This window comes from Homo sapiens, chromosome 6 (genome assembly GCF_000001405.40).
Source record: "Homo sapiens chromosome 6, GRCh38.p14 Primary Assembly".
Taxonomy (NCBI): Eukaryota; Metazoa; Chordata; class Mammalia; order Primates; family Hominidae; genus Homo; species Homo sapiens.
The window spans coordinates 87,662,750-87,674,318 of NC_000006.12; the positions used below are offsets into that span (position 1 = coordinate 87,662,750).

Consider the following 11,569-nt stretch of genomic DNA (forward strand, 5'->3'; position numbering starts at 1 on the left):
TATTATATGGAAGAGATGCAGTTCTGAGTGAAACTGTATTAGAGCTGATATTTGGGTTTGTTTCATTCGTTTGTTTTTGGTTGTTAATTTTGCTTTTAGTAAATGGTTCAGTCCTCTACAGAGAGAGGATTGACAAAAATGTTATAGTGAAAATTGAAGTCCAACAGAGCTTAAAGGAAAAAATATATATATTATATATAAAGAAAATAAACCTGTGCTTATCTAAACATGGATGCCTGACTGGCTGTTTCAGAGAATACCTTCTGCCTCCTGAGACACAGCCTCTCCATGAGGTGGTGTACTTCAGTGCTGCCCATGCCCTTCGTGAGCATTTAAATGCTGCTCCGCGAATTGCCCTCCATACTGCACTCAACAATCCTTACTATTATCTCAAGGTAAGATGAACATTTAGTTTTCTGATAGTTTAGCTCAGACTCTGGGCGTCATTGTCATAAAAATATACTAAATTTGCAGTTATGTTTTAATGAGCAGAGAGTCGGCAATTCAGGGTTGCACGTCTCATATATTTTTAAAAATTCTTTAGACTGTAGAAAAAAATTTCTAACCCCATAAAGATAGCAATTAGTAGTCAACTGTTGCTGCCAGTTTTTGACCATGTGTAATCTTTGCCCTTCACATGCTAAAGTCAGATCATAGGCACAAAGACTTGAGAGTATAATGTTACCACTCTTGTGAAAATAAAAGAAATGTTTCCTGTAAACATAACAGCAGACAGGGATTAAACAATATGGCCTAATAAATTACTGAAAGACCGAAATGGTTGTTTCTAGTGGGAAAGAGAAATACTTTGGGACTTCATCTTGGATTTTAAAACAAAGAAAGGTCTATTCTGAGAGCATCTGCAGAGCTGAGTGTAGAGGATAACCAGCAGTCTGCCACTAAAACTCCTGGGGCAGCACACTTCAGCTGCCCTTGCTAAAGTCCAGACACAGTTATCAACTCCTGGAAGCTCTTTAAACAATAGTTCAAGACAGCTCACAATTTTAGAAACTAGCTTTCTTATGACCGGGCAAAATGATCACTTTAAACATTCAATAAGCTGTATATACATGAAAGAGTGGTAAGTTAAATACCCAGAAATCTTGCCACAATAAATACTTAAGAAACAACTCCGTAAGACCTATGAAGAGCATTCCAGTGTACTGGCTTCTCATTGCAAAACGGCACACAAACATGCAGAGTATTACAAGAATATTGAGTAGGACGATATAAGTCAATGGTTTTCAGTGATGGTGAAAACCACTGAATAATTTCATACTTAACCAAAAAATCAGTTAATTTTAATATATAAACCATAAATTAAAACTTACAAAATCTGTCTTCTTCTTGGCTGGTGGGTCACAGAAGAGAACTGGTATGATTTCAGTTGTCTTTGGGTGGGATATATTATAATATACCCCTGATATTATAATATCAGAGCAGGGTGTGTATGTAAGACTTTGTGTTTCTCAGTAAAAGCCATGGATTTCAAATAGGTTGAAGAAACACTGATGGTTTCTATAGGGCTTAAGGTCTGCAGTGTTGACAACGTAGTCTTTTCTTTAAAAGAAATTTATACCCCTGGTAAGTGGTATTAGTATTTACTAATACAGTATAGTAATTGTTAGAATTCAGCTAATTATAAGTGTTGGAAGTACCATTTTATTAAGTATTCCTAAAGATTTCCATAAACTTTTTACATTAAGTGCATTCAGGTCTGAGAAATTAGTAATTTATGGATTGAAATGAAAAATATGCTTATCTTCTAATCCTGGGAATATTCTTCTAGTGACTAAGAACTAGAGGGGTTATGACCAAGACATAAACCTAAACAAGAACTAGCTAACTATTGAATAGACTCACTCACTAAATAAGGGAAACCAAGATTCCATTTACTGGTTTACTCAGTTTAGGTTGGGGGCTTCATTAATGTCTGATTTTATTCCTAATAATTTATAAAAGTTAGTCATCTTAGTTTACTGTTAATTGTTAGAATGAAGCACTGAAAAGCGAAGAAGGCTGCATTCCGAATATCGCCCCAGACATCTGCATAGCATACAAACTGCACCTAGAGTGTAGCAGGCTCATCAACCTCGTGGACTGGTCAGAGGTAGGTTGTAGGGAAAAGAACAAGCTAGATATTTTTCTAACCATCCATGATGACTTTCTCAGAATAGTTTTATACTTTTAGTGCTTTGGAATTTATCTTGTGTTTAATGCCTTGTCTTTTATTTGGAAAGCATAAATCATTTCAAACTTTAAAAGTTCCTTAGGAAGTGGTAGTTCAACAGTCCCCACTCCCAATCCCCTGCCCTCTGATCCTGAATTCCTTAACCAAGCCAATTCTGTGTTCATGCTAGGTCAAAATAAGTATGTGATCTAACCCAATAGTTAGCATTAAGCAAAAACTAAACAATTTAGGTCAGTTCTGTTATTTCACAAAATAAAGTATATTATTAACTAGCATTTCTCTTCTTGCTTAAAAGAAAAAAAATTGAAGTAACTACACAACAGATTTAGCAATCAGGAAGTATAAGGAATACTTGGCAAGGCAATAAACAACTGTTGTTATTCTTTAAAATAAACAACTATTCTTTCTGTCTTCAGAATAGTATTACAAAGATCTTAACTCTATTAAAGGCCTTACAGATGTCTTGTCACCATTAAAAAATATCCATAATTGGCTGCTTCCAAGAAAAATAGATATTTTCCTGGAGTAAGATTAGTAGAGGAAACAGGGCTTTCTTGTTCTTTTACCTTTGACTAGCTTCGTTTCTTTTCTCTGCATACTCTTAGTTCTCTGAAACAAGATTATTCAGGAACCATTACTTTATCTTTTAATATATAAGTGGTTTAAAGTGATCATCAGTGTAGTTTTGACAATCTTAAATTTGATATAATGAAGAATATGTGCCAGCTATCAACAGCCATTAAAAGAAGTATAGTAAAAGATGTTTGGCAACTGTAGACATTTTTATTTTCTTCTGTCTTGTCTATTCAAAAGGCTTTTGCAACAGTTGTGACAGCTGCTGAAAAAATGGATGCAAATTCTGCAACCTCAGAAGAAATGAATGAAATTATCCAGTATCCTTTTAAAACCATTTCTACAATGTCCAACTACACATAAAATATAAGTTTATAATTTCTCCAGGTCTACACTAGATATTTATAAAGGCGTACTCCAAACAACCGTATTACTTGTTAATATTAACCATATGGTGCTAGAATAACTGAAATTTCTGAATCTTTATTTTGAATTTAATCCAAAATGAGACCAAACCTAAAACTTTTGGTATCAAATTTATATCAAGATTATATTTTAAAATTTACCAAAAATGAAACTGCCATTATTGAATTCTCTTTTTTTGGTTTTTGTTTTTTTTGTTTGTTTGTTTGTTTTTGAGACGGAGTCTCGTCTATCGCCCAAGCTGGAGTGCAGTAGTGCGATCTTGGCTGACTGCAACGTCCGCCTCCTGGGTTCAAGCAATTCTCCTGCCTCAGCCTCCCAAGTAGCTGGGATTACAGGTGCCTGCCACCAAGCCCAGCTAATTTTTGTATTTTTAGTAGAGACGGGGTTTCACCATGTTGGCCAGGCTGGTCTCGAACTCCTGACCTTGTGATCCGCCCGCCTTGGCCTCCCAAAGTGCTAGGATTATAGGTGTGAGCCACCTCACCCGGCCTAATTCTTTTTTTTTTTTTTTTTTTTGAGACAGAGTTTTGCTATTGTTGCCCAAGCTGGAGTGCAGTGGCACGATCTCGGCTCACCGCAACCTCCACCTCCCGGGTTCAAGCGATTCTCCTGCCTCAGCTTCCCAAATAGCTGGGATTACAGGCGCCTGCCACCATGCCTGGCTAATTTTTGTATTTTTAGGGGAGATGGGATTTCACCATGTTGGCCAGGCTGGTCTTGAACTCCTGACCTTAGGTGATCTGCCTGCCTCGGCCTCCCAAAGTGCTGGGATTACAGGTGTGAGCCACTGACCTGGTCTGAATTCTCTATTTTTCTAATGTACGTTTAGAAGTGGGGGCGGGGAGCAATTTCCATACTATGTAGAACATTAGATTTAGGAAGCATTAAGTACTTTTCCATTTATGTTTTATTGATAGTGGATTCTAATTAATGTTTTCCAGTAACAGTTATAGTTTAATTTAGGAGTTTATATCTGAACTATCTACTTCATTTTACCAACTAGTATTTTAACATTGAGATTTTAATCCCTTTTTGTCAAAAATACAGCACGGCCAGTTTCCTTAATTAAAGCCTCCAGTGCTCGGTTTATTAGAGCTGTTTCTGAACTAGAACTTTTAGGATTTATAAAACCTACCAAACAGAAGACTGACCATGTGGCAAGACTAACATGGGGAGGCTGCTAGAAAGCAAATAAGCAAAGCCAGAACTATCACATTTAGCTTAAGAGAAAAAGGTGACCAGTCATATTTACATATATTAGAGGAGCCTGTTTTGTTGAGAAGATAAATGTGTAACCCCCATTGATGTTTAACCAGAAAAGTACATTGCTAACCCCAAACAGGCATGTATCAAAACACCTGTGGAGTACTTTAGACTCCAACAAATAATAATGTAACTAAAACTGCTCACACATTTTACTGTACTTTCCAAAGTCATTACTAAATTGTGAGTAAATCATTCTTGAACTTAGAGTATGTAAATGTAATAAATTCCGTTATCCAGGAGTATAAATTATTTGCAGTTGCTTTAGCAATCCTCATTCCTCCTCTCCCAATTCCCTGCATTGGCATTCCTCACTTTAGTGTAGTAGGCAGTAAGTAACATGAATATCTTACAGGTTGTTTCTCCTGGTGACTACATAGGTTCCAAAACTGTCTCTGCCTCTCCATTTCCTGTAGTCTTACAACTTTAAAGAAAAAAAAAAAAGGCCAGGCGTGGTGGCTCACACCTGTAATCCCAGCACTTTGAGAGGCCAAGGCGGGTGGATCACAAGGGCAGGAGATCGAGACCATCCTGGCCAACAAGGTGAAACCCCATCTCTCCTAAGAAATACAAAAAATTAGCCAGGTGTGGTGGCACATGCCTGTAGTCCCAGCTACTCGGGAGCCTGAGGCAGGGGAATTGCTCGAACCCGGGAGGCGGAGGTTGCAGTGAACTGAGATCGGCCACTGCACTCCAGCCTGGGTGACAGAGTGAGACTCCGTGTCAAAAAAAAAAGTCCCAAACTGTTTGGCTTTATTTAGGCAGTAAATATTCTACTTCGGGATGACCTGTCATGGAGCCAGTAAGGCCTCTACAAATCACATCCCAAACAAATACAACTCAGATGAGCAAAGTAAGGCCCAGATGAAATGACATCTCGATCTCTTCTATGGCAGAAACTCAGCAAGACATAATGAAACAAAGATAGCTAAAGTTCATTATTTAATGCTCTACTCCCAAGAGAATTATGGGACTTTAAGGCTACTCACTAACATACAAAATTACCATGCAGATATGGGGGGAAAGTCCATGTCCAGAAAAAACTTGGTTTGCAAACCTTAGAACTATGTCATTGCAGGATTATGTGTGTGTGCCCGTGTGTGTGCTCACAGGCTTTGAAGAGTTTTATGAGTATCCATTATCCAAAATGCTTGGAAACAGAAGTGTTTTGGATTTTAGATTTTGAAATATTTGCATTATACTTAACAAGTTCAGTTCAGCATCCAAAACCCAAAATGCTCCAGTGAGCATTTCCTTTGAGCATGTCAGTACGCAAAAAGTTTCAGATTTTGGAGCACTTAAGATTTAGGATTTGGGATATTCAGCCTGCATAATCAAACCTCCTTCATTCAGGAATGTAAAAGGAGGTATTAATATGAGCTTAGAATAAAGAACACCTTAGACCTCTGGCAGCGTGGTGGGCTGAGATGACATTAATGGGTAGCTGCTCACCCTCCCCACCTCACTCCCTGCTTTAAGCACATAAAAATGCTAGATGAGCTGGGTACAGCAGCTCGCGCCTGTAATCCCAGCACTTTGGGAAGCTGAGGCGGGTGGATCACGTGAGGTCAGGAGTTTGAGACCAGCCTGGCCAACCTGGTAAAACCCCATCTCTACTAAAAATACAAAAATTAGCTGGGCGTGTTGGTGGGCGCCTGTAATCCCAGCTACTGGGGAGGCTGAGGCAGGAGAATCACTTGAACCTGGGAGGCGGAGGTTGCAGTGAGCCAAGATTGTACCATTGCATTCCAGCCTAGGCGACAGAGCGAGACTCTGTATCAAAAAAATAAAATAAAAATACAAAATTAGCTGGGCGTGGTGGCACACGCCTGTAATCCCAGCTACATGGAAGGCTGAGGCAGGAGAATCGCTTAAACCCAGAAGGTGGAGGTTGTAGTGAGCTGAGATTACACCATTGCACTCCAGCCTGGGCAGAAAGAGTGAAACTCCGTCTCAAAAACAAAACAAAACAAAAGCTAGATGAAATATATCTCAAAAAATGTCAAAATGTTGCCAAGGCTAAAAGGAAGGGGAAACCCCAAGGTACCATAAATAATCAACTGCAAGTCAGAGCAGAAAGCACCTAGCCCTGCAGAGCTTTGGGAAAGACAATGACCAGCGTAGGTAGTTAAGTTAGATTAGGTATCTTTTCATCTTCATTTAAAAGGTGCCAGGATTTCTTATTCAACAGAATGTAAACACCTGTACATATGTACACAGGACTGTCAGCTTGAATGTTTGTTAAGGAATTTATTATATGCAAACACAAGTACCACTACTACCATAGAAAGCAACTGGACAAATAGAAGCCTTGACACCTTGGAATCCATGTATTAAAGACAGAGCCTCTGTCATTCTAAGGGTCTTTGAGTGAGGGTGTGGAACACAGCCCACCAAATGAATATGATCAAAGAATAAATTTCTCATGTTAAGTCACTGAGATTCCATGATTTACCTTCATAGCAATTAGCTCAATATTTTTTCGCAATATTCTAGTCATTCTTCTTCTAGTCTTGCCTCCAACCATGTGTTTCATTTTTTAAACAATGGTTGGTACAAATCTAGGGAAAGAATAGGTGATTTTAATGATTTTTCCATCTATTTAAGGTAAGGAAGTTGGCAACAGGGAAGGTCTTCCAATACAAGGACACCATCACTACGTACAATGTAGTTTCAAATGATGCATATGAGCACCAGATAAAATTGTCAGTGTTTAGAAACTATTACTTTGAACAACACTCATACAGCAAGATGCTTTTTACACTGTAAGGTACAGAGGAACTGGCCTCACACAGACCAGCAGATTCATATATAAGGCACAGATTCACTGAGTAGAGTAAGTAGCCATGCCTTACTTTTCCTCTGCTGGGCACTAAGTTGAATTTATCCAACATAAACGCATGTCATGCCCTGAACCACTTTGACTTTCCTCACTAAAGATTATGTAAGAAAGTAGCAGGATGGCAACTGCCCTATTTTCTTTTTCGAGACAGAATTTCACTCTGTCACCCAGAGTGCAGTGACACGATTTGGGCTCACTGCAACCTCTGCCTCCTGGGTTCAAGCCATTCTCCTGCCTCGGCCTCCCAAGTAGCTGGGACCACAGGTGTGTGCCACCACGCCCAGCTAATTTTTGTATTTTTAGTAGAGATGGGGTTTTGCCATGTTGGCCAGGCTGGTCTTGAACTCCTGGGCTCAAGCGATCCACCCACCTAGGCTTCCCAAAGTGCTGGGATTACAGGCATGAACCACCGTGCCCAGTCGAAAACTGCCCTATTTTCACAATGAATACACAAAAGAGCTATAAAATTAAAACATGAAGCTCCTTTGTGGTAATCATTAATGGAGCACAAAACCCTCAAGACAGCCTATGAAATGCCAGTTCAATTCTGTGTCCATTCTGTAATTCAGGAAACCTCTACCAAAATATCTTACAAAGGAAGTATTCTGCCTTACTAAATCTTTCATTTAATGAAATACTGATCTGAAAACCCTGAATCGAAGTAGGGTGAAATACATTCAAAAAGTACCAAGCATGTGCCATGTGCCAGGCACTGTATGCCAGTGAGCAAAGAACCCTGCCTTCACTGCGTTTAGCACAGGAAGTAAAACAAAGAAAGCAGCAGGGCAGAGCACCAGGATGTCAGGCTGCAATTTTAAAGAGTGGTCAGAGCAGGCTTCATTGAGATGACGTTTGTGCAAAAAGTCAAAAGTGGTGAAAAAATTTTCCATGAAGTTTTGTGGGAGAAGAGCATGCTAGGCAGACACTAGCAGTAACAAAAATCCTATGCTGGAAAAACAGCAAAAGTGGCCAATGTGGACAAGGTAGAGTGAGCAGGAGGAATTCAATAGGAATTGAATGAGGTGGGGTAGAGTGCAGGTAATTTAGGGCTCCACAGACCTTTGTGAAGTTTTACTTTTACTTAGGAAGCCATCTAAACAAGACTTAGACTTTTAAAGGATCAGTCTGGTTGCTATGAGAGTAGAATAGGATGGGTGAGAGGAGACAAAATGAGGCAAAACAAAGACCGGTTAGGAAACCACAGAAATAATCCAAGCAAGCTATGATAGTGTCTTGGATTAGGGTAATAGCAGTAGAGATGTTAATATTTTAAGGTGGAACTAAGATCAGATGAAGGATGTGAGGAGTGCAAGACCATTTCTGCCTAGAAACAAAGAATGGAGTGGCCATTAAGTGATTGAGGATGACTGAGAGGAAAAATTTCAGAGGCAAAAGTAAGTTTTAGACGTAAATTTCGAGGTGTCTACTAGATACCTAACTGAAGATGTCACATGAAGACGTTAATATAATCTGATGTCCTTATGATGAGATCACCAAGATGAGTACTAAGAGAGGAGGCAAGCAGCCCAAGGTCAAGCTCGGGGGCACACCTATGTTTTAGCAAAATGCAGGGAAATGAAGATTGGGCCAACAGCAAGACAGAGAAGGAGCAGCCAGTAAAGGAGAAACGTCAAAGCAAGTGTAGTATTTTGCAAGCCAACTGAAGAGTGCTTCAAGGTCAAATGCTGGCTGCTGATTAGATTTAACAATGTGGAAATCTTTGCTGCCTTTTACTAAGAGTAACAGAGAGGAGACGAACTCTAATCACCTATCAGATGACCTAACCAAGTGTCCAAACTTAACAGCCTGGAAAAGCCGTAACTGTTGTGATGCAATATGGAGACCATAGCATCACCTTGCACTCTTGCACAACAAGTTTAACCCGAAACTTGCGAAAACTTTAGACCTTTCAGTTTACAGAAAGTTCAAAGGGATATCAGAAGTTAAAATTAATGACAGTACAAAGAAAAACTCAACAAGACAACAGGCCTAGTATTTCCAGAAAGTAGGAATCTTAATTGAATCGTGTTTGGGGGATGAGGGTAGCTATTTAAAAAAGAGACACATGGAAAAATCTGAAATAAGGACTCGATGTTAAATTAGGGAAGTATTTTAAGTGGGAAAGTCAACTTTTCTGTTTGAATTTCTTTTCCTAATAAAACAAGTTGGTGAAAAAAAAGGAAGGGGTAATAAACTGGAGGAAGTTTAGAAAACTGAGTTTTGCTTTTATAAAGGGGAGCACTAAAATAATCACTAGCAAGGGATATAGGATCAAAAGATTTTTTAATAACATGCTTATTATGCTTTTGGAAATGATTTAGTAGAGAAAGAAAATAGATGCAGTAGAGAGAGGAGAGGACTGCTGGAGCTGTATCTTTGCCTGAGACATAGGTTTGCATCTCGTGCTCCTTACCTGGGGCAAATGCAGGAGCAAGAGAATTGTGGGAGCCATGTATCCATGAGTAGACATAGACTATTCGGGTGCTTTTGTAGAATATTCATTTAATACCAATTACTGTAAGAGTTTGAAAGGAGTAAAGAGAACCCAAACAGGGCAAAAACAAGTCATTTCCAACCCTAGCTGCTTAAATCACCTAGGCAGCATATTAAACAGATTCCAAAAGTTCTCCCCTCCCACCAATTGTCTAAAGCAGTCTCTGGGGATAGGTAGAGCCTGAGAACCTTCTACCATTTTCTTTAGGGTCGTGTCAAGTGCTTGCCATAGGCCAAAGACAGCTTTAGTAGTTTAAACCTCCAATATTTATTTTTCTCAGATTGCCTATTTTTCCAAAAGTACAAACGCTTATACCTATGTGCACTTGTTAAAGATTTACTAAACACATCATAGTACAGTACTGTATCAGTACTGCCTTTTACTGGAAGAATAAGATGACTATTAACACAATTCTGTAGATACTTATTACAAGCAATTTCAGGGATTTGGGGAATTCAGAATCCCTAGGTAGCTAAAATAATCTATTGAAATCATGTGTGGTTGGTTATTTGGACTAATCAACTACCGGACCCATCTAAAGTCAGAGTAGCCCATAAGCTAGGACTTTTGCATAAGTGATAATGCAGAAATTTGGCTGTGGAGCAAAAAAAAAAAATTTTTTTTTTTTTTTTTTTTTTTTGAGACAGAGTCTCACTCTGTCACCCAGACTGGAGTGCAGTGGCATGATCTCAGCTCACTGCAACCTCTGCCTCCTGAGTTCAAGCGATTCTCGTGCTTCAGCCTCCCAAGTAGCTGGGACTACAGGCTATCCTGCTAACCAGTGGTTCTTAGCTGGGAACTGTTTTGTCCCTCAGGGACATTTGGCAATGTCTGCAAACACTTTGGTTATCACAATTGTGGGAGGGGGTTTAACTGGCCTCTAGTGGTAGAGGCCAGAGATGTGGCTAAATATCCTATAATGCACAGCAATAGCCACCACGACAAAGAATGATCTGGCCCAAACTGCCAGTAGTGCTGAAGTTGAGAATCTCTGTTCTAGACCATTAAAAGGGGGTAGAATTGGCCAGGCGCAGTGGCTCACGCCTGTAATCACAGCACTTTGGGAGGCTGAGGCAGGCAGATCATGAGGTCAAGAGATCGAGACCATCCTGGCCAACATGGTGAAACCCCGTCTCTACTAAAAATACAAAAATTAGCTGGGCGTGGTGGTGCATGCCGGTAGTCCCAGCTACTCGGGAGGCTGAGGCAGGAGAATCACTTGAACCCGGGAGGCGGAGGTTACAGTGAGCCGAGATGGCAGCACTGCACTCCAGCCTGGTGACAGAGCAAGACTCCATCTCAAAAAAAAAAAGTAGGGGGGAAGGGCATAGAATCATGCACCTTATTGCTACCCTGTGCTATACCAATGTTTCTCAACCACTAATTGGCATATAAATTGCCTGGGCACCTTGTGAAACCACTTTCTAGGCTTGTTTTAAACAGAGAATTGGTGAAATGTAATTACCAAAGCTAAAAATAAAAGAGGTCTGGCTGGGCGCAGTGGCTCACGCCAGCATTTTGGAAGGCCGAGGTGGGCAGATCACCTGAGGTCAGGAGTTCGAGACCAGCCTGGCCAAAATGGTGAAACCCTGTCTCTACTAAAAATACAAAAAATTAGCCGGGTGTGGTGGCACATTCCTGTAATGCCAGCAACTCAGGAGGCTGAGGCAGGAGAATCGCTTGAACCTGGGAGGCAGAGATTGCAGTGAGCCGAGATCGTGCCACTGCACTCCAGCTTGGGCAACAAGAGCAAAACTCTATCTCAAAAAAAAAAAAAAAA

General features: G+C 40.0%; 1 protein-coding gene across 13 annotated transcripts in view, besides 1 other annotated feature; it reads left to right on the top strand.

Moving 5' to 3' along the window:
- The window catches only part of ORC3 (origin recognition complex subunit 3), an 87,689-nt gene that overhangs the window by 72,615 nt on the left and 3,505 nt on the right, over window positions 1–11,569 (top strand). For 7 of the 13 annotated variants that reach the window (NM_181837.3, NM_012381.4, XM_011535651.3 and 4 more), the window contains 4 exons: window positions 254–395; window positions 1,994–2,110; window positions 3,005–3,084; window positions 4,269–4,702. In NM_181837.3, coding sequence (NP_862820.1) covers window positions 254–395; window positions 1,994–2,110; window positions 3,005–3,084; window positions 4,269–4,374 — 445 coding nt within the window. In that variant the 3' untranslated portion in view covers window positions 4,375–4,702. Of the gene's footprint in view, window positions 1–253; window positions 396–1,993; window positions 2,111–3,004; window positions 3,085–4,261; window positions 4,703–11,569 lie in introns of those variants that run through there. The other 6 variants (XM_005248704.3, XM_017010634.3, XM_047418551.1 and 3 more) reach the window with 2 other exon arrangements.
- Window positions 9,809–10,009: a silencer, noted in NCBI's record as "peak5943 fragment used in MPRA reporter construct". NCBI's record gives its function as "represses an SCP1 promoter by STARR-seq MPRAs in K562 erythroleukemia cells {active_cell/tissue: K562}" and the evidence as "EXISTENCE:reporter gene assay evidence [ECO:0000049][PMID:32103011]".